We start from the raw sequence: 23,149 nt of genomic DNA on the forward strand, positions 1-23,149 counted from the left end.
GAGAAAGAGCGGCCTCCGCTCCACGACAGGAATCTCACAACTTTGCAAAGGGATGCGCGGAATTCTACGGAAGCGGCGCGAGGGCGCAGCCCGGAGGGCCCTGCTGGGCCCAGGGGCCTCCTGGCCGCCTTCCCGACCCGATCCCTCTTCCCACACGCGCCCCGCGAACGTCGGCCGGACTCGCAGGGGTCGGAAGCGGCGCGCCCGGAGAGCCGGCGGAGCCGGGCAGGGCTCGCGCCCCGCGGTCCGCTCCGAGTAGCCGCGAGCCCCGCCAGACAAAGAGGCGCGTCGGGTCCCGGGCGCGGGTAAGGGACGCAGAGGCGCGGGCAGGGCGGCGCGCCAGCCTCGGCCCGCAGGGGGCGCCGTCCGTGGCCCCAGCCCCGGTCCTTACCTTTGAGGACCGAGCAGAGCCGCTCCAGGGCCATGTTCCCGAGCTGCCCGGCGCTTCGCGAAGGGCTGAGGTAGCGGCGGCGGTGGCTCGGCGCTCACGGCTCGGCGCGGCGGCGACGGCCCCACTCCGTCCCCATCGCCGGCCAGCAGCTGCCTCCCCGCTCCCCTGAGGAGAGCTCAGGTCCTGCGGCCCGCCATGCCCGAGCCCCACAGTGGGCTCCCGCGCGGCCCGAGCACCCCGACGGGCGCCGCCTCCTGCTCCGCGGCGCCCCGTCCCATCGACCGCCCGAGGGCCGAGGAGTGCGGACGCGCGGCGCGGGACCGGCAGGCAGCTCCGCCCGCGGCCCCGGCGCGGGATCCACTGAAGTGGCGGGCGCGGGGCGCCCAGGCTCATTTAAGGAGGGAGCGCGAGCGCCGCGTGCCGGCTGCGCCGCCTGTGCGCATGTGCCCGCCCCGCCCCGCCCCGCGCCGCGCCTCGCGCGCCCGCCGCGGCCTCGCGCCGTGGGACGGCGTCGCTCCCCGCCGGCTGCCGTTAGGGCTGGGAGCCGGCTGGGCGCGGGGGTAGTGAGGGTGCCTCTCGCCGTGGCTGCGCGGCGGCCTCGTCCGAGAGGCCGGCGCCGGGGCAGTGACCGGCCCGTGCCCAGCCGCCGCGCAGGGCGCCCGGGGCAGCTGGCCGAGCCCTCGATGCCTCCCGTCTGACGGAGGCGCCCGGGAAGCGCCGCCCACCTCGGCCCCGCACCCTCGCCGGCCTGCCGGGTCTCCGCCAGCCCTAGCAGACAGAGAGGGGCGCCGGTCCCTAGTCCCCCAGACCTCCATTCAAGGTCAAAACTTTGCCCAGCTCAGCCTTGCTCGACCCTGGGCAGGGAAGCGCGGACATCGGCAGAGGGAGCCCGAGGCTCTCCGTGCCCTTCGCGCCGGTGAGTTCCCGACCCGCGGCGCTGCCGGCGTTTCCCTAGCGCCCGCCAGGTTGACAGGCACTTTAGTACCAACTCCTCAGACTCCCCCTCATGAAGTAGGTTTTAGGGGATTGGAAAGTCGAGGCCAGAGAGGTGAAGCCCTTCGTCCAGAGCCGCGTAGCGAATGAGCGGCAGGGCTGTGCACCTCCCCCGGGGCTGCCCTCCTAGCAGCTAACCACTACGCTGGGCAGCTTCGCCAGCTGATGGGAGTCTCCAGGTCTGCCAACAACTGCCTGGCTGTTGGTGGTATTCATGATCCTGCTTTATTTTCTCCACAGCGGTTATCACACTGATATGACCTTCCTCATTTATTTATTTGTTCATCCTTTATATCTCCCTCACCCTCACACCATTAAAATATCAGCTGCTTGCAGGCAGGCCGACTGCATTCATTTTTTTCACTCCACACATACGTATTGGGTGTTAATTATGTGCAGAAGACAATGATTGGTGCTGGAGATAACAACCGTGATCAAGGCCTTACCATAATAGAATATTTATGCCTGTCTCTGCGTGTAGTAGGAACTCTGTAAACGTTTGTCTAACCAATTGTAGCTAAAGACAATGTCAGGCAACTGAAACATTTTTCAGGTGTTAAGCTCTTCTCTCTCACTTTGTATTCCTTCAAGAAAGGTACAAAAGCATAAATAATTCATGAGATTTACAAAGGAAAAACATACTTAACACCAATTAATATCGAGGTGTTTCACCCTTTGCCATGTGCTGTGAATGGGGGCATAAAAGATGGGTAAGTTTGGGTTCCTAAAGGTAACCACCTACTACAGTTAAGATCGCACACGAGAACCAATTAGGAAATAAAACATTTAAGAACTTTTTCCCACGGATATGAAAAGGTGGCTCACGCATGTAATCCCAGAACTTTGGGAGGCTGAGGCAGGCGGGTCACCCGAGGTCAGAGGTTTAAGACCAGCCTGGCCGACATGGTGAAACCCCATCTCTACTAAAAATACAAAAATTAGCTGGGCGTGGTGGCACGCGCCTGTAGTCCCAGCTACTAGGGAGGCTGAGGCAGGAGAATCGCTTGAACTGCACTCCAGCTTGGGCAACAGCGAGACTCCGTCTCAAATAATAATAATGATGTAGCATATTAGTAGAATAGGAGAGTAAGAAGACAATATTAAGTATAGGTTACAGACAACAGTGAACCAAAAAAATTTGAGAGGAAGGGGCTCTCAAATTAACATAATAGTTTCTTAATGTGAAGTTGTTGACTGAAGGAAAAATCTGCGTGTCATGTCATCAGAGAAGACTTCCTGAAGGAGGTGACACACAAACCATGGAAATGCTTGGGGTGGCGAGAGGAGAGGAGGCAGAAGAAGAGCTCAGCAGGCAGGGAGCAGGATGAGCCTGGAACGTGGGGCAAGTGTTGTGTTTGGTATAAAGAGGTTGGACATGGTGGGCTTTGATTATGGAGATAGGTGCTCAAATGCTAGTTAGGTAAATGATTACTTTTAATAGTGCAGTAATGGAGTTCTGGGAAGATTTCATCTGGCAGTTGAGGTTGTAATAAAAGGGGAGAGATTAGAGCAACCACAAGAATTCCAAAAGTAGATCTGTAATACTTCTACGTTTACTTTAGAAGCTCTTACTTGTATTATTTTGATTAAACCTAAAAAATCTTTTTTCCTCTAGAATGTTGGCTTGGGAGTAGATTCCAATTGGGAATGTTCATTTTGTGGCTCCCTTTTAAGACACCTATCTTTTTTAGATGTGCTGGTGGAATCGTCTGCAGTCGATTTTTCGAGGAATGTAGGAAAGCACAGATCATAGCTGAGACTACTGTGTGGCCATATGTTAGCCAAATCAAAAGGGAAGCGTTTTCATATCTCTCACTTGGGTTCTGTATTTGAATTATTATTTTCCTGGAAGATCACCCAGTAGCACCCAGTCTGTTCCCAGATTACCTGGCAGTTTCCAGGTGACTGAGGGCTCGGCTTTCCTTGCATCCTGCCAGTCTCCCAGGCATCCATTCAGGCTCTCCAACTCCTCACAATCATTCCTATAGTTTGAACTGGGTTTTCTCTGACCAAGTCCCATGTAGTACTTGAATGGTATTGCATGGCATTTACTTGTTACTAGAATGAACCTTGTTTTTTTTTTTGAGACGGAGTCTCACTCTGTCACCCAGGCTGGAGTGCAATGGCTCACTGCAACCTCCGCCTCCCAGGTTCAAGCGATTCTCCTGCCTCAGCCTCCCTTGTAGCTGGGATTACAGGCGCCTGCCATTATGCCCGGCTAATTTTTTTTTTTTGTATTTTTAGTAGAAACGGGGTTTCACCATGTTGGTCAGGCTGATCTCGAACTCCCGACCTCAGGTAATCTGCCTGCCTCGGCCTCCCAAAGTGCTGGGATTACAGGTGTGAGCCACCACGCCCGGCTGAATGAACCATTTTTTAAAAGGAAGCATTTTATTGTCAATATTTATACACTTAACAGATTTTTGTTGTGTCTCTGTTTTGCTATTGTTTGGGAGTGTTAACATTTTATTACATGACAGCCGAGGAAAGCAGGTTGTTGCGTTTGGAGATTGTTACTTACTGTCTGTGTCCCCTCCTAGTTCATATGTTGAAGCCCTAACGTACAGTGTGGCTGTATTTGAAGAGGAGGGCCTTGAGGGAAGTAATTAAGGTTAAATGAGGCCGTATGGGTGGGTCCCTGATCTGAAAGAAATAGTGTCCTGATGGGAAGAGATATCAGAGAGCCTGCTGTCTCTTCATGCACAGGCACCAGGAAAGGCCATGTGAGGACACAGCAAGAAGGCAGTCATCTGCAAGCCAGGAAGAGCATCCTCATCAGAAACTGAATTGGCTCCTGCCTTGATCTGAGACTTTAGCCTCCAGAACTGTGAGGAAGTATGTCTGTTGTTTCAGCTACCCAGTCTATGGTATTTTGTTGTGGCAGGCTGAACCAGCTAATACAGAGATTATAACTAAGGAAGGTAGAGGAATTTAAAAAGAACCAAACTTTTATGTGCAGAAACTATTTGTAGTAAAATATAATATGGATCTTTACAGGGTGCAAATATGGCTACAGCAATGGTGACATTTAGTGAAAAACAATCAGGTGGGTTCTCAGTATATGAAGATTTCAGTGTTTATTACACAACTGTAGGGTTTTTTTTAGGGAAGGAAGAGAGGAAAATTGTAATTTTTAAAAAGTGCATTCTGTTAGTCTGCTCAGGCTGCCATGGCAGAATTACAGTGTAGCTATAGACTGGGTGGCTTATAGTGTAGAAATGTATTTTCTCACAGTTCTGGAGGCTGGTTTCTGCTGAGGCCTCTCTCCTGGCTTGCGGACCGTTACCTTCTCACTGTGTCTTCAGCGGCCTTTTACTCTTTCTGTGTGCACCCCTGGTCTCTTCCTCTTCTAATAAGGACACCAGTCCTATTGGATTAGGGTCCAACCCTTCTGACCTCATTTAACCTTAACTATTTCCTTAAAGGCCCTGTCTCCAAAAAGTTATATAGAGGGATAGGGCTTCGACATGTGAATTTGCGGGAAACACAATTCAGCCCATAAAATGCAAGAGCCACAATCATTCCTGTGTTATTGATATTGAAGAAGAGCTGTCAGGGGGTCAAAGAATTCTTTCAGTAACACTGTCCCCTAAACTTCTAAATTTCTGGTTAGCATAATTTTAAAGAACGCTTTTAAGAAATATTGCTTCCTATTAATATAAAATATTTCATCTTTACCAGGAAAATTTCAAATTGTCAAGAAAATTTCTGGTCATTAGTTACTTTCCTTTGATTGTGAAAAACTAAGAAATGCCCTAATTTTAGTCATGTGCTGCATAATGACCTTTTGGTGGATGATGGACCACATACACAACTGTATAAGCTTATAATACCATATTTTTACTGTGCCTTTTCTATGTTTAGATATCATTAGATATACAAATACTTACCATTGTGTGTAGGAAGTAATTGCCTACACTATTCAGTACAGTCACTTGCTGTACAGGTTTGTAGCATAGGAATAATACGATAAACTGTAGAGCCTAGGTGTGTAATAGGCTACACCATCTAGGTTTGTGTAAGGACACTCTATGAAGTTTGCACAATGATGCATTTCTTAGAATGTATGTCTGTCATTAAGTGACATATGACTGTGTATTTCTTAGAATAAAGTTACTAACATATATGGTATCTTTTTTTTTTCTTTAAAACCAAAATCCCATGTTGAAAAGAGATATGTTTGCTTAAACCTATTTACTTTCTAACCTGGTGTTCTTTCATTGAAATCAACACCCCCTCCTCCAAAAAAAAAAACCTATTTACTAAAAGCTGAAACAAATGCTAGTTTATTGGTGTAGTATGAAACCATAAGTGTAAATTCTTGATGCAGTTATTTGGTAATGTTTGTTAAATAATAAAAATTGTTAAAAGGCCTTTCATATTCCTCTGCTCTGTGGTGTTACCTCCTTCCTGAATCAGACTTCCATGTGTATGAGTCTTTCTCTGCACTCTCTAATATGTTCCATTGGTCTGTCTATCTCTTCACCAATACCGCACTCTGTTAATCACCCTAACTTTTTCTTTCTTGAGACAGAGTTTCGCTCTTGTTGTCCAGGCTGGAGTGCAATGGCATGATTGGGTCACTGCAACCTCTGCCTCTTGGGTTCAAGCAATTCTCCTGCCTCAAGCCTCCCGAGTAGCTGGGATTACAGGCTTGTGCCATGACGCCCGGCTAATTTTTGTATTGTTAGTGGAGACAGGGTTTCACCATGTTGGCCAGGCTGGTCTCGAACTCAGATGATCCACCCGCCTCGGCCTCCCAAAGTGCTGGGATTACAGGCGTGAGCCACCATGCCTGGCCTAATCACCCTAACTTTATTATTTTGTTACCTGGTAGAGCAGGTCCTTATTCTTTTTCAAGATTGTCTTGGCTGTTCTTGGTCTCTTATATTTCCGTGTACATTTTAGAAACCTCTTAGCAAGCTCGGCAACACAACACCCCGTTGGGATGAGTGGAATTGGGAGGGCTTTGACATCTTTACAATTTTGAGTCTTCCTGTCCATTAACATGGTTACAGATGTGCATTTATTGAAAATTTCCTTAGCGTTTCTCAGAGAAGTTTTATAATTTACCAGACAGAGATGTATGCTACATCTTGTGTTATACTAATTCCCAGGTACTTGACTTTTTCGATGCTGTTATAAATGTTACCTGTTTTTAAATCCCATTTTCTAATTGTTCATGCTGGCGTATAAAAATGCAATTGATTTTAGAAAGTGCCAAACTGTTCTCTAGAGTGGCTTTCCTATTTTGCATCCCCACCAGCAATATATGAAAATTCTAGTTTTTCCTCATCCACATTAGCACTTTGAATTGTCAGTATTCTTTGTTTTATCCATGAAAGCACTTTTTATTCATGATAGATGTGTATTGGTATCTCTTCATAGTTTTAGTATTCATTTCCCTAATGGCATATCCGGTTGAACATCTTTTCATATGCTTGTTTGCTACCTATATATCCTCTTCAGTGAAGTATCCTCAAATTATTGCCCACTCAAATTGTTTTTTATTTTTACTGGTGAAAAGATGTCCATTTAGAATTAGCCAGCTGGACTCAGTTTAGATGATTCCAATTTTGTTGGCAACATCCAAAGCATCATAAGCAGGAGCCAGTCAAACACACGCCTTCTCTCCATTGGGCCTGATTGATCAGGCTACATCAGTGTTGCAGAGCTTCCCCACATCCTGTTTGCTCTGGTGCTTGTTGGCTTTGCCATCCACGGTGACCTCAAGTGTGTTGTTATCTTCTGTCTTCTTCATGGCACACTCAATGCTCAGGGAATCGGGCAGAGTGATGAAGCTTGTTTCTCCTGGGGGCACTCTTCTGAGGATATCTGGGTTGTCTCTAGAGCTGTAGTGTTTTGGGGTGCTGGAAGGTGGGTGAAGTGCAGATACTCCTTTTTGTGTGTGGCTGTGGATGCTTTCCAGCACTGCCTTCTTGGCCTTCAAAGCTTTTGCTTTGGTTTCAGCTTTGGGAGAGGCAGGAGCTTCCTTAGGTGTCATCTTGTCTGAGTTTTTGTATTGTTGAGTTTTGAGAGTTCTTTATAGATTCAGGATACAAGTCTGTTGTTGGATATGTGATTTGAAAATATTTTCTTGGCCGGGCATGGTGGCTTATGCCTATAATCCCAGCACTTTAGGAGGCTGAAGCGGGTGGATCACTTGAGGTCAGCAGTTCGAGACCAACCTGACCAACATGGTGAAACCCCATCTTTACTAAAAACACAAAAATTAGCCAGGCATGGTGTCACACACCTGTAGTCCCAGCTACTTGGGAGGCTGAGGCAGGACAATTGCTTGAACCTGGGAGGCAGAGGCTGCAGTGAGCCGAGATCACACCACTGCACTCCAGCCTGGGTGACAGAGCAAGACTCCATCTCAAAAAAAAAATTTTTTTTTCTTTGCATATATAGCTTGTCCATTCTCTTGGAAGTGTCTTTGTCAAAGCAAACATTTTTAATTTAGATGAAGTCACATTTATCAGTTTTTAAAAAGAATCATAACTTTGGTGTCATTTCTAAGAACTCTGCTTACCCCTAGCCTATGAAGACATTCTATGTGTTCTTTTAAAGTTTTATAGTTTTACATTTTATATTTGAATTTATGACCCACTTTGAGTTAATTTTTGTGTAAGGTGTGAGGTTTAGATCAAGGTTCTTTTTTTCTCCTTTGCCCTTTGTATTTATGGCAAATACAGATGATCAATTGTTCTGACACTATTTGTTGAAAAGACTGTCTTCCACTTAGTAACTTTTACATCTTTGTCAAACATCAAATGTCTATATTTGTGTGAGTTTATTCCTGGACTCAATTTTATTCCATTGGTCTATGTGTCTCTCTTTGCCAATACCACACTATCTTTATTACTCAAGCTTTATAATAAGTTTTAAAGTCACATAGTTTGATTTCTTCAACTTTGTCTTCTTTTTCAACATTGTTTTAAACTAGTCTAGTTTATTTTCTCTTTCATATAAGTTGCACAAAATCCTGTCCATGTCCACAAAAAGATACTGCTGGGATTTTGATAGGGATGGTGTGAAATGTACAGATCACTTTGGGGAGTACTGGCATCTCCTAATCCATGAACACACTGTCTTTCCATTGAAGTCTTCCTTGGTTTCTTTCATCACCTTTCTTCTTTGTTAATATGTGCATTTAGTGTTATAAATACCACCCCCCAGCACTGCCTCCTACAAATTTTGTTACATTGTATTTTTCATTTGGCTCAAAATATTTTAAAATTTCCTTTTGAGACTTCCTCTTTGACCCTATGGTTATTTAAAATATCTGGGTATTTTCCATGGATCTCCCTAGTTCAATTCTATTATAGTCTGATAATCTACTTTGTATGATTTCTATTCTTTTAGATTTGGTAGGACTTGTTTTATGGCCCAGAATATGGTCTATCTTGGTAAGTGTTCCATGTGCTCTGAAAAAGACTATTTTGCTGCTGTTGGTTAGAGTGTTATATAAATAGCCACTAGGTTAGATTGACTGAGTGCTTTTCAGGTCAGCTCTAAGCTTTCTGATTTCCTGCCTACTTTTTCCTTCAGTTACTGTAGAAAAGTGTTGATGTCTCCCACTTAAATCGTGAGTTTGTCTGTTTCTCCTTACAGGTCTGGCGGTTTTTACTTTTTAGTTTATGAACACTTAGGATTTTTATGTTAAGAAGAGGGGCCTGATCTTGGGTGAGTCTGCTCTCCAGATGAGGCTGGCAGATGAACAGTGATGACACTCCCAGAAATTAGGATAATAAGTCCTTTATTCTTGATGCCGGATCTGGACACTACACCACAGCATCCACTAGAAGGAATATTTAGGGTTTTGTTTCTTTTTGAGTATGTTTTGGTGATATTTTCCTAGGAATTGGTCCATTTTGTATAAACTTTCAGATACACTGGTGTTGGGAACAGGCCCTCCAAAATCTGGCCATCTACTGGCCCCAAAACTGGCCATAAACAAAATCTCTGCAGCACTGTGACGTGTTCATGATGGCCATAACGCCCACACTGGAAGGTTGCGGGTTTACCAGAATGTGGGCAAGAAACAACTGGCCCACTCAGGGCGGAAAACCGCTTAAAGGCCTTCTTAAACCACAAACAATAGCATGAGCGATCGGTGCCTTAAGGACATGTTCCTGCTGCAGATAACTAGCCAAACCATCCCTTTGTTTCCCATAAGTGATACTTTTAGTTAATCCCGTTTCCCATAAGGGATACTTTTAGTTAATCCAGTATCTATAGAAACAATGCTAATGACTGGCTTGCTGTTAATAAATACGTGGGTAAATCTCTGTTGGGGCTCTCAGCTCTGAAGGCTGTGAGACCCGATTTCCCACTTCACACCTCTATACTTCTGTGTGTCTTTAATTCCTCTAGTGCCGCTGGGTTAGGATCTCCCCGACTGAGCTGGTCTCGGCACATTGGTATAAAGTTATTCTCAAAATCTTCCTAGTTTTAATAAATAGATTATCTGTAGTTATACCCTTTTCATTTTTGATACTGGTTATTTGTACCAGTTTTCCTTTTCTTGTTAGAGGCCTTTGGGGCAGCCTGTGCCCTATAACTGATGAATGTGGGAATGTAAAGGCCCAGCCTTCATATTCTAACTTGGGACAGGTTAGGAGATAGGAAAGGTCATCCTATCTCAGAACTCGATGTAGGGTTGTATGAGGCATTTCATTGAGAATGCATCACAGTTCAATTTTTCTGCCTAATTTTGTTTCCTTCCTTTCCCTTGTACGGTTGTGGATCAAAAGCACTGCCTAATCTACTGTCTATTTAATTAGCCTTTTAAAATAACTGGTCAGGTGCAGGTAATCACAAGGGCTGGTTTTAATTCACCTTTATCCTGAGGAGTAAGCCCTTAAGTATCCTAGATCAATCCCAGGTATACCATTGAGGTCTGCGGGACATGATTTAAGTTTTTGTTTCTTTTTATGAGGTATTCTAGCTACTTGCAAGGATGGGGAAATGTAAAGGGCTAGTTCAAATAAATGGTGTATTAACATATTTACAGTATCTTCAAAATGATTATGAATTCTTAATTACTCTTCCTAGCTCCCCAAGGATGGATAACACTAACATATAGTCAGTGGGAAAGAAATCTCAGAAAATAACTGTTAGTTTGTCACTGTCATGGGAAATGGGAAGGAAGAAAAACAGCACTTATCAAGCATCTTCTGTGTACAAACTGCCATTTCAGACTCAGAGCAGTCCTTGAAGGTAGGTATCACTCATTACCTTTGTTTTACAGATGAAGAAACCAAAGTTCAAAGAAGTGACTGATTCAGAGTCATGAAATCGGGGAGCTGGGCCCTGAATCCAGACTGGTCTGACTTCAAAGCCTTGCTCTCTTTCCACTGCAATATTCAAAATCAAAACAAAGGTTTTTGTTAGTGATTCTCAATGTTGTGATACATTTTTTACCTGCTGTCCCTTAATAAATGATATTAAAGTTGCATTTGGAAATACAGAAGCAGTATTAATGTCACTGATTGTAGTTTTAATTGTCATTAACATTTTATTTGTCTTGTAAACTCTGATTCACATGAGTTTGAAGACTCAGGCTATATCAATAATGATCCCAATTATCTTTGAGAAAGTGTCACGTAGTGCCTGGGACAGTGCTGTGGGCTGATAACTAGTGAATTTAACTGAGTATTACAGTCAGGAGAATCCTATCTTGCCCGTGACCCACAGAGAGGCAGTGGGCAAGTCACCTTACCCTGGTCTCCCAGTCCAGATAAATGCTTTCATAAGCTCTAAGGTCTCTTCATGCTCTAAAATAATTATTTAAAAACTCACTGAAATACTTTGTTTCAATAAGGAATATTTATTAAGAAGACATGTTAACATGCTTAGATACAAAGTAAAAACACATGCCAATCTCAGTGAACTATAAAGAAAAAAATAAGAACAAAATTGTTTTCAGAGAAATTTTTGTGTTTTATAGGCATCACATGTCCATTTGCATACTAGAAAATTATTAGCATTGATAAACTTTTTTTTTTCAGTCTTAAAGTCTTTTTAAAGTAACTTTTTGGAAATGTGAAGTTCACAATACAAAATTTGCATTGAAGTCTGAATGTAAATTATAGACTTCTCCAAGTGTTTGAGAATAGAAATGTGATTGAAGATTTGCATTCCCAGATGCTGCCTACAGCAGTTTCCTTTCAAGAAATCAAATGTTCTTCATTATCACATGATAAGGATAAGTTTTTGGAGGAAAATTTTTAGGGCACATTAATTCTTGGAGAGTACTATAATTTTTAGTTAATATGAGCAAGTAAATCTTTATGTCAATCACCAAAAATTTAGCTTTTCCAAAGAATATTTCTTCATGCCTGAAAATAAAATTCTATCAAGTCTATGTATTTCTATAATTAGATGTATAAGTCTAATAAGATCATCTAAAATATTAATAATGACAACTACCACATATTGACCACTTACTCTGTGCTAGGCACCAAGCTAAGCACTTCACATACATCATCCCATTTAATGTTTACAGTAACTCAAGTATTAGCCCCACTGAATAAACAAGAAAACTGAGGTTTACAGAGGTTAAACAAGAGCCAAGTTCAAACAATGACTTTGTAAGTGGTTGAATTAGGAGTTTAAGGCAAGTCTGTCTTACTGTGCTACCAAGTCAGAGTACCCGATCACTATATTGTATGCCATCAGTGAGACCCCTGACCTGCTGTGATGAAGCTGAATGCCTAATGACTCCGTGATATATTCACAAAAGTATAATTTGCATCATTAGAATAAGAAGCAAGACCAAGTCAAGTGGACACAAAAATTCCTGCTCATTTAATTATTTTTATTTACACAACTTTTTCCATCATCATGATGCAAATAAGATTATAAATACACAAACACTGGAGTACATGCAACACATTCCACAAAGGAACAAAAATGTACAGCACTACAGAATAGAGAACCCAAATTTTTATATACAAAGTGCTTTAAAAAAAAAGACCTTGTGACATATTCAAACCATATTTATTTGAATACTTTCCAATAATTACCATGGGATACATCATTTATAAATAATATTTAATCTCCCCTATTTTTTCAAGCCAGAATTTGTGTTTCAACTAATCAAGTGAACAGCCATTCCATTATGTAATATTAAAGGCAAGTCACATAGCATCAAAATGAAACCGGTGGGCTTCTTGTCGTTTTTCTCTATCATCTGCTTTCTGAAAAAGAATTTTAGACTCGTTTATAAATGGTAGAAAGATGTTATGAAAAGACTCATTTCTGAAATACACAGTGATTCATTTTTAAAAGTCTCCAGCAATTAGCAGATAATAGATATGATTTCCTAATTCAACAGTCCTAGTATTTTTGTAGTTTATAGTAGCTATTTTATAATTAATGATCTAATTGATTAAAAAACAATAAATACTTGAATACTTAAGGCACATTAAATACTTAGGGTCCTTAAATACTTAGCTTCTTATCATTTATTATCTACTTGAAAATAGGAATAAGTATTAGATTCTATAAGGATGAATCAATGATTGCATTTTTCTGTCATTTTTAACAATGATGTTAATAAACAAATCTAATGGCTGGGTGTGGTGGTGGCTCATGCCTGTAATCCCAGCATTTTGGGAGGCCAAGGAGGGCAGATAACTTGAGGTGAGGAATTCGAGACCAGCCTGGCCAACATGGTGAAACCCCGTCTCTACCAAAAAAATACAAAAATTAGCTGAGTGTGGTGGTGGGCACCTGTAATCACAGCTTCTTGGGAGGCTAAGGCAGGAGAATCGCTTGAACCCAGGAGCGGAAGTTGCGGTGAGTCAAGATTGCACCACTGCACTCCAGCCTGGGTGACAGAGTACTAATGTACTAATTATTTTTTCATTAACTTGTCAATTTAGCAGATATTCATTGGCCCTTTGCTTCTAATACTCCCAATACCAATACTGTGTTTGCTATTTTAATATTAAAAAAACCTCCGTTTTGTATCTTGTTCTCCAAAAAGACAAATGCAAAACATATTGTATAACTGTAGTTCAAGATAAAAAGTGAAAAATGTTACCAAGTCTAAGAGACTACTTCTAGATCCGGGTGAGGAAAGGGAAAGCTTTGAAAAGACAGGGAAAGCATTTGAAAGTATGGAAATGGGGAGAGTGGTATTCACTCCAAGCTGGGGTTACAACATGATCAATCATGAGAAGGCTGGAAGGAGCACGGATATGTGAAAGCAACTGGTAAAAAATACGACTGTGGAGTCACATGGAAGTCATATGCAGGCCAGGCCAAGGATTTTATACATAAAAGGCAATGGATATTCACTAGAGCTTTTTCAGCAGGGGAGTGACATGATGAAGGCTAAACAGAATGAATCACTGGCAGCAGTGTGCTAAATGGAATGGAAAGGGGAGAGAATGGAAAGGGGAGAGAACGGAAAGAAAGAGACCAAGTAGGATGTAAGAAGGGGCAGTGCAGTAGGAATGTAGAAGTGGAGTCAGCTGTAGAACTTCTTACAGAGGCAGAGTCCATAGGCAAGTGATGAAATCTTGTAGGTTAAGTAAGAGAGATGAAGCTTTAGAATGCTGGTTTTGAGGTGCTGTAAGTCATCTAGGTTGAGCTATCATGGTGACAGTTGGAAATGGGGAAGGACCTTTAGAGATGAGAGCTGGGGATATCTGAAGCCATGATTTTAGATGAAATTGGCAGGGAAAGTGTTGAAAGAAGAGGGCCAGGGGCAGACACTGGGGAAAGCCTGCATTGAGAAAATGGTAGAAGGAGCCAGCCTGCTTAAGTAAAAAAGTGGTTAAAGAGGTTCTACCTCTTTGAGATACCACAGTGCCACAGGAGATACAGTATATATATAGTCAAATATATACTTGTACTTAAAACTTTCATTTTTGGCCACTGCATAATTATTGTTATAAGCACGCAATGTTTATGCTGTAATCAGATCTACTGAGGAATTAATGAAATTCATTTCCTTTGCTTCACAGGTCAAGAACTGTGGAATCTTTCAGATGATATTCTGATACTTCTGGACCAAGTATGTATGGTTGTCCTTGATCTTACTCTTAAGTTGCAATCTTAAGGTTAATTGAATATGTAACTTCATGTTACTGTTTTTGATATGTAAAGGAGTGATTTTTTAAAAGTGACAAGCCTATGAGCATTTATAGAACAACTAATATGTTCTTTTTCATATGTTAAAAGAACAAACACGGTAATTCTAGCAAAAAATGATTATGATGGCATGTCAATCCAGAGTGTAGGTGCAAAAAAAGAAAAACACCTTTCTTTGGGGCCACAAAGCAGCCCTTTTTTGAGGGCATTGATTGGAACCCATATATAAATAGAAACTAGCTTTTTCACATATATCTAAACTGCTAATTTACAGTGATAGCCTCTTTTTTCTTTGCATAAAAATCTTTTACATATTTGGGAGTTTTGTTTTCAATTATTATTTAGAGTATTATACTAAAGAACAGAAATCAGTTTAATGCAAAGAATACTTGATAGATGAAAAAGATGTTTATGGCTTTTTTCTTTTTTTGAGACAGGGTCTCACTCCTTTTGCCCAGGCTGGAGTGAAGTGGTACAATCGCAGCTCACTGTACCCTCAACTTTCTGGGCTCAGGTGATTCTCCGACCTCAGCCTCCTGAGTAGCTGAGATTACAGGCTTGCATCATGGTGCCTGGCTAATTTTTGTGTATTCTGTAGAGACGGGGTTTCATCATGTTGCCCAGGATGGTCTCAAACTCCTGAGCTCCAGCAATCTGTCCACCTTGGCCTCCCAAAGTGCTGGGATTACAGGCATGAGCCACCATGCCTGGCTGTTTATTGCTTCAGTTGTTACCTTCCACCTAAACCTCAAGAAAATAATTTAACCTCTTTTCACTCTAATTCTTTTCAAAGAGATAGCTGATAATCCTAGCCAAAGAATGTCCATGGCTTTATCAGTACATACTGAACACACGTTCATTTTTTAAAATCATTATTATTTTTCAGGTCATTATGAAATTGTTTCTAAATGCCTTTTGATTTCCGGTTGATCACTTTATTACTACCGTACTGCATCAAACTTTTAAAGTAGACATCTCTTGTGATTTGTATGAATTGATAGGAGACATTAGTAACTTCCAGGGATAAAAGAAATTATCATCAATAAAATGATGCTTTGAACAGAACTTGAAAAATGATGAAATTCTAGTCATATGAAAAAAGTTTAAAATAAATATAGTGTTTTTAAAGAGCAATGTATGTATTACTAGAATAAATTAACCAAAATTAATGCTTCCTTTAAATGAACAAACCTTTTCCTGCCAATGTAAAATGCCAATTATTGCCAAGATGAAAACACAGACACCGATGAGAGCTATAGCAGTAAGCAGAACAATATTACTTGGTGTAAGATACAGTTTGGCACTCCAACTGTAGATAAAAACAGAACAAATTAAAATTACAAATTTTATTTAAAAATAACAAAGTTATATTGAGACCCCAAAGCAAAATAGCTTATTAATTAAACAGTCAATGTATTCATTAAACCATTCATTCATCAGTCCATTCATTATAAATAAAACAAAAACAATTAAAAATCAGATAGTGCTGAGAATATTGATGATTCTGCAGTTTATATTTTACCTAGACAACTGAAATAGAATTTTTGATGAGATATTTCAATATTTTTCATTTTCCAAGTTTGATCCTATGAGAATTATTTTTAGGTAAACATATCCAAGGGTACTTTGGATAATCATAGACATCTTTTTTACATCTTGATTTACCTGCTTAATTTGAAAACCTGAACTCTAAAGCAAGGTAGTCACATGATCCTAGAAGCCTTCTGTATCATCTTATTTTTGACCTGTGTCACATATATAATGTGACCAAGTAAAACATAAATGTTGATGGCTTGTGCAAAACTTCTATAATTTTTATATCATGTTGGAGTGTTTACATTACTACAATGACTTTTAGGTTCAGATCACTTACAAAATCATCTTTAGTCCCTCACTGTTAATGGCAATATACAGACTAGAGGTCTTTAGTAAACAGAACTAGTTCTTTCCTTCTAAAACAGTCCATGTAATATAGCATTTGCACACCCTGAAAGCCTAAAACTAAGGACTGTATCACCAAGTGTGAAGGTTGTTATATACACATAACTTTTTGTTCTTCCTAGAAATAGGTAATGGCTATATTTTTATTTTAAAAGTTTAATAAAGGTAAGACTGTTCTGGTAAATAGCAAGTAGCTATTGATTTATTCTGGGATAATTAAAATTTATTGATCCATAAGTTAGCTTCTAGTCAATAACCTCAAAATACACCTCAAAAACTAAAATCAATTTGGTTTTTATTATGTACATAAATTTGAAAAGAACATTTCTTTGGAAAGAGTAAGAGAAACATGAAAAATGTTGAGATTACGGAAAAAAGCTATGGTATAATTTTCTGGAAATTCAGAAGAGTAAGTAAACCTTAAGAAAACAAATACTGTTAATTAGTTGAAAGCTACTCTTAGTGTTATACTCATACTTAAGAAAACAGTTCTTTTATGAGATGTTTTTGGTAGTTCTACTTTTAAAATAGATTTTTAACAAATCAGGAATGTAAGTGTTTTGGTAAAAAAAAAAAAAAAAAAAGACAAAAGTCAATCCTCAGTTTTCTCCTCAGAGGCAGTCACTCTTACCAGTTTCCTGCATATCCTTTCAGAGATATTTTATACATGTATGAACATGTATGTATAGATGGCTTCTTTTTAAATCACAATGGCTGCTTATTATACATACTCTTCTACATTTTGCTGTTGCTTCTTTTGTTTGTTGTTGTTGTTATTGTTTTTTGCTTACCACTCCATCTTAAGAGACTGTTCTATGTCCGTGGCAGTGAAAAAAAATCATGCTACTGAGCTGTATAGAAGTACCGTACTTTATATAGTTTCCTACTCATGGTCCAGATTTTCTAGTTTTACTGTAAATTTCATCTATAGAAAACTAACACAAACATACAATACAGGCTCATTAAAAAAAATCTGAACCAGGACTATAACTGTTTCAATGATGTCATCTTATTCCAAGCATAAGGCTGTGATAAAGTTTATTTTCTTAAGCAGTTTGGTTCTGAAGCCCATTAATTTACCATAAAATGCATCTGCTGGTATGCTGGTAAACTGGCTCTGAGGTAGAGAGGGGTTCGGGAAGCCTTGTTTATGGTACTTGCCAATTTTCATGGAGTAGATTCTCCTACCATAACTGATTTCAGTGTGACTTCACTGAATAGAGATGCACAGAGTCAGGTCATGAAGTGGCATAAGCTGGTTTTGGCAATCAATACATTCGATCGAGATGTTTAATAAAGAATGATGAAGCTGGTATTTTCAGAGGGAATGTAACAAGCAGGGGACCCCACTGGTTACATATTCATAGATAAATTCACCATTTCTCTTTGGTTATTTTCTCATATTGATATTTGTCTAGCATATTTTTCCCTATGAAATTTAAATGTTAGTGAATACTTTTATCGCCTAATTTAAAAGGAATAGAATCAATCTAGGAATTTAAATAAAAATGAATAAAATTTAAGGATTTAAAGTTAAATGCTGTATTATGAAATGAATGTATTCTGTTAATAAGGATAAAAATACCTACCATTCGCTTACCACATGCTTGGCACTGTGTTAAGTATATTTCACCCTCAGATGCAGAAAGTGAGTCTTGGAGAGGACAAAGGACTGGCTCCTACTCTTGCAGTCAGCCAGCAATGGAGCTGAATCATTTTAGCCTACATCTATTTAACTCCAAAATTTGTGCCCAACCACTGTGGGATATATACTACTTCTCAAATAATTTATTTAAAAGATTAGTGCTTTATACAAAGATTTAGTATCCTGAAAGTTTGAATTTATAACTAGTAAACTGAAGAGCAGTTTATTTAAGCAGAATACATATAAATCCCTAATTAGTTAACCTCCTGTTTTTCTAATAGGATTGAATTTGTTCTTCATGAAAAATGTCTGGGACCTTTTATGTAAGTATGTTTAGTCATTTAAAGTTTGCCGTAAGCAAATTAAGGGATGGGCACTCATGGGAACACAGCAGGAATATGAGAGAGCTTAAAAGACATCACTGTATGTATAATTCAGAGTTAGCAGTGTCTTTACCAAATCGGTTCAAGCAAGTACATTACCTTCGAGGGACATTGTGAGGGTATGGAATGACAATTAGCTGGGAATTTGGAATGATTGCAGTCCACTCTTGTTTTCGTATAGACTGGAAGAAGAATTTAAGAACATTTAACATTCAGCACATTTAAAAAACACAATTATTATTCTAAATAAATAATGAAAAATCTAGCTACTTTGAGAAATTCAAATTCTAGGTATGGATTAAGCTATGTTTACCAATATTAAGCCAAAAATAAGGCTTTTGTGCCATCTGTTGGAAAATTTTCTCATCTTTTTGGGAAAGATTATATTTGTGTTTTATGAATTCATTCATTCAACAAATATTTATTAGACACTTACGTAGCAGGCACTGTTCAAAGGGCTATGTACAAATGCTGCTTGGAGCTAAAATTCAAATTGAGACTGACAATAAACAAAGCAAGTAAAATAATATGATTTTACATATTATATAAATAATACACATATGTATAATAATATTATTTATGTTACTAAAATATTTATGTACACGTTAGGTGGTGAAAAATGTTAGGATGAAAAAGCAGGATAGAGGGATAGGTGACGTTTATGGGAGAGGAGAGGGAAAAACTACACGGTATCTTAAAATCATGATGTGCTCTAAGTAAGATAAGCTTAGGTCACTACCAATAAATTTTTCTTTATTCTTTAAAGGGAATAAAAATATTTGGTTTATTTGAATTCAAATTCAATTAGGTTCAAATTATTTAATTTAAATACTTAAATAGTGAATATTAAAACATAGATTAATTGTAAACAAAATGAATTTTTACTCACTTTTTCTCCAGATGGACGGGGAATACCAACGTAGAGATGGTCAAGAAAATTTGCGCTCCGACCTAAACCAAGCACGTTGTATGGTAGTTGGAGAGCTAAATGTGCGGATTGGCTGAGTTGGCCAGCTAGAGTTATTCAATTAAAAAAAAATTAAAAACATCTCTGGAAACATTGCTCCCATCAAATATTAAAATGATAAAATGTTAAAAATTTAGGTACTGGAATGTATCACGTTTCAAAATGTGAAATGAAAGATACAGGTCATTAATATTAATGATTCACTTTTTTCTTTTTTTGAGACATGGTCTCACTCTGCCACCTAGGCTGCAGTGCAGTAGCACTGCACTGAGCCTTGACCTCTCAGGCTCAAGCTATCCTCCTTCCGAGCCTCCCAAGTAGCTGAGACCACAGGCATGTGCCACCAGGCTCGGCTAATTTTTAAATATTTGTGGAGACGGGGTCTTACTATGTTGCCCGGCCTTGAACTCCTGGGCTCAAGTGATCCCCCTGCCTCGGGCTCTCAAAATGCTGGGATTACAGGCGTGACCCACCGTGCTCAGCCAATGATTCACTTTTTAAAGAAAACAGCGTTACTGAGATATAATTCACATACCATACACATCACCCGTTTAAAGTGTACAGTTAAGTGGTTTTGAGTATATTCAAAGAATTGTTCAGCCATCACCACAATCTAATCTTAGAACATTTTTATCACTTGAGAAAGAAACTCCATACACATGAGAAGCCATGTCTGTTTCCAACCTGCACACTTCCAGCTGTATGTAATCACTAATCTGCTTTCTGACTCAATAGATTTGCCTATTCTGAAGATTTCATATAAATGCAATCATACAATGTGGTCTTTTGTGACTGGCTTCTTTCACTTAGCATGTTTTCAAGGTTCATCTATATGGTAGCATGTTTCCATACTTTATTACTGTTACTTGCCAAATAATACTCCACTTTGTTATATATACATTTTGTTTCATTAATTAATTTCATTAATTGATGGACATTTCAGTCATTTCCATTTTTGGTTACTATGAAAATACTGCTGTGAACATTCATATACAGGTTTATTTTTGTATTCACTCTTGTTTTCCTTTCTTTTGATTATGTAGCTAAGTGTTTAACATCATTAGGAACTATCGAACTGTTTCCAAAGTACCTGCACCATTTTATGTTCCCACCAGCAATGGATAATGGTTCAAATTTTTCCACATCCTCAATAACACTTTTTGTTGTGTCTTTTGTATTATAGCCATGCTCATGGTTGTGAAGTGGTATCTCATTATGGTTTTTACTTGCATTTCCCAAATGACTAATAGTTATTAGCCATGAAAATGGTCAATAAACACGTGAAAGAAGCTCAACTACACACACACACACACACACACACACACACACACACACATACACACACACACACACCAATTAAGTAAAGCATCTGGCCCTGTAGGCACATTTTCTGTTGTCTTTTTATTTTTTTAAAGAGATGTGTATTAGCCTACTTTCCTGTTTCTTTGTATGTCTTATAATTTTTGTTGAAAACTGGACTTTTAAGATAATATTGATAACTCTGGTATCGCTTAACCCCACCCAAGGGTTTGTTGTTTTGTTACTGTTTATTTGTTTAGTGACTTTTTTTTTTTTTTCATGTAGTGAATTCTGTGGATTCTGTATTCCCTGCAGCAGTTGCCCCAGGGTCTTTTTAATTTTTATTTTTAAAGTTTTTATTCTACATCTGGCTTCCTACTTGGCATACCTGGGTCAGTATTATTTAGTGGTCAGCCAGTGATTTGTTGTAAGATTTCCCTAAATCTCTTGCCTGTACATCTCCCACCCTTTGTCAAAGTGATTTGTGTGTGAAGGCATGCCTTCAAAGTTCAGAAAATGACAGCCTTAGTTTTCATTTCCTGCTTACGCAGGGCTTCATGGTGAAGCAGAAGGGAGCTGATTATTTGAATGAGGTGTTTTCCTTTCTAGGAATTTGCAAAGTCTTCTAGATCCCCAAAAATATGTTGTAGCTTTTCAAAGCTGCGTATGTTTTCCAGTTTTCTAAGAATTCCTCTTATATTTTGATCAGGATCTTGTTTCCTCCACCTTTAATCACATGCTTAGGTAGCTGAGATGTTGCCAGCAGATTACTGTTGTTTTTGGTAATGCCCTAGTCAAATGAAATAGCCAAGATGCTGAGAATGAAGATTTTCCAGGGAGCTGCTAGTTCAGACAAAATGTTGATAGTAATAGGGATGGAGATTTTCATGCAGCTCCAAGGAGGTCAGTCATATCCATTGGCTGTGAAGCCGCTGGCTTTCCATGGCTACTGCACTACTCAGTTGAGAAGGGGGGCAGGATGGGAATTGCTCCAAGATAAAAATGCCATAGATTCGGTGTCTTATCAAGGATCAGTAGTTTTCCTTAGAATAGACAATACTCAGTCCATTCTGTGGCTTTGGTTAATTTCCAGAGTTCTGAAATGGTGGATATTATATGGTTGGCCAGTATTTTTGTTGTTGTTCTTTTTGGGGGCTCTGGGAGAGCAAGTTCATGTGGTCCTCACACTGCCATTCCAATAGTCAATCTTTCCCTATTGTAATTCACTTTTATACAATATATGTATTTTCTAGGTATTTTTCTACATGCTTAAACTTAACATTTAAATGACAAAGTTAATTAATATATAAATATTTTAATATTCAAGGGGACTCTGCTAAACATCACTAATGTTATCCAAAAATATGCAATCACTGGAAAGTATATTTACCTGATTATTTATATAGTTCTTAAGTTGGAAACAGTAAGGTATAATGAAAAGGAACATGAATTTAAGGATAGGCATTAACAATGTGTATGAAACTGGAAAACAGTATAGTGAACAGCATGGGCTGCAGAATTAGTCCACCTTGTGGAATTGAGCTGATTGAAAGATAATGTTTAAAAGTAGAGTATCTCACATAGTAAATAATAATGTTAGCTATCTTTATTAAGATAAAATTTATTCTTACAGAGTTGAATTAAAAATTAAAAGCAGGCCATTTATGCCTGTCATCCCAGCACTCTGGGAGGCCAAGGCAGGTGGATTGCTTGAGCTCAGGACTTTTCAGACCAGCCTGGGCAATGTGGTGAAGCCCCACCTCTACAAAAAATACAAAAATTAGCCAGGCATGGTGGCATGTGCCTGTAGTCCCAGTTACCTGGGAGTTGACCTGGGAGAATCACCTGAGCCCAGGGAGGTTGAGGCTGTAGTGAGCTGTGATTGTACCACTGCACTCCAGCCTGGGAGATAGAGTAAGACCCTGTCTCAAAAACAAACAAACAAACAAACCCAAAATTAAACACAAGCTGATTTCATGACACTACTAGCAAAGACTGACTTAACAGAAGTAAACCAAAAATAAAACTCTAACTGATGGACCCTCCCCTCAGGCATTCAAAAGTTAACCTGAAAAAGTAGTTCAGGCCATGACCGGAAGTGAGGGTCAGATATGCCTCATTATATGCTCCTTTCTTTTGGAATTCAGGCACAGCTGACCAGCATTAACATCAATACAAAGCCCTTAAGACTGATAGAACAGACTCTTTAAGTCTGAGAAGAAGCATTTATAATCTACTGTCACTGAAGCCTGCTACCTGGAGACTTCATCTTCATGATAAAACCTTGGTCTCCACAACCCCTTATGTTAAAAGACTTATTTTGTCTACATGACATCAAACTAGGCTTCTGTTTTCCTGTTTATACTATTAAAATTGCCTATGCAATAAGCAAGCTTAAAAGTATAAGGAGAATAATCTAA

The 23,149-nt window shown here is 39.7% G+C and overlaps 2 protein-coding genes, 1 long non-coding RNA gene and 1 pseudogene across 10 annotated transcripts in view, besides 2 other annotated features; 1 reads left to right on the top strand and 3 right to left on the bottom strand.

The window, feature by feature from the left end:
- Positions 1–758, bottom strand: part of NETO2 (neuropilin and tolloid like 2) — a 66,243-nt gene extending 65,485 nt beyond the window's left edge. For all 6 annotated transcript variants that reach the window (XM_006721291.2, NM_001201477.2, XM_006721289.2 and 3 more), the window contains exon 1: positions 392–758. In XM_006721291.2, the coding sequence (XP_006721354.1) occupies positions 392–425 (34 nt within the window). In that variant the 5' untranslated portion in view covers positions 426–758. The remainder of the gene's footprint in view (positions 1–391) is intronic.
- Positions 59–898: a silencer, noted in NCBI's record as "silent region_7449". NCBI's record gives its function as "represses an Ori minimal core promoter by ATAC-STARR-seq in GM12878 lymphoblastoid cells {active_cell/tissue: GM12878}" and the evidence as "EXISTENCE:reporter gene assay evidence [ECO:0000049][PMID:35858748]".
- ITFG1-AS1 (ITFG1 antisense RNA 1) lies at positions 881–19,560 on the top strand. 2 transcript variants are annotated; one of them, NR_110903.1, is made up of 5 exons: positions 881–1,307; positions 10,445–10,609; positions 14,368–14,417; positions 18,362–18,403; positions 19,364–19,560. It is a non-coding gene; the product is annotated as an ITFG1 antisense RNA 1 (long non-coding RNA). The 2 variants fall into 2 exon arrangements; NR_110904.1 differs by lacking the exon at positions 10,445–10,609.
- Positions 959–1,288: a silencer, noted in NCBI's record as "silent region_7450". NCBI's record gives its function as "represses an Ori minimal core promoter by ATAC-STARR-seq in GM12878 lymphoblastoid cells {active_cell/tissue: GM12878}" and the evidence as "EXISTENCE:reporter gene assay evidence [ECO:0000049][PMID:35858748]".
- RPL23AP72 (ribosomal protein L23a pseudogene 72) lies at positions 6,902–7,393 on the bottom strand (annotated as a pseudogene).
- Positions 11,204–23,149, bottom strand: part of ITFG1 (integrin alpha FG-GAP repeat containing 1) — a 306,856-nt gene continuing 294,910 nt past the window's right edge. Inside the window, exons 15-18 of one of the 2 annotated variants that reach the window (NM_001305002.2) lie at positions 19,353–19,477; positions 18,563–18,645; positions 15,686–15,747; positions 11,204–12,591 (exon numbers count right to left, since the gene is read on the bottom strand). In NM_001305002.2, the coding sequence (NP_001291931.1) occupies positions 12,581–12,591; positions 15,686–15,747; positions 18,563–18,645; positions 19,353–19,477 (281 nt within the window). In that variant the 3' untranslated portion in view covers positions 11,204–12,580. Of the gene's footprint in view, positions 12,592–15,685; positions 15,804–18,562; positions 18,646–19,352; positions 19,478–23,149 lie in introns of both variants that reach the window. The other variant, NM_030790.5, reaches the window with a different exon arrangement.

The sequence above is a fragment of the Homo sapiens genome, chromosome 16 (genome assembly GCF_000001405.40).
Source record: "Homo sapiens chromosome 16, GRCh38.p14 Primary Assembly".
Taxonomy (NCBI): Eukaryota; Metazoa; Chordata; class Mammalia; order Primates; family Hominidae; genus Homo; species Homo sapiens.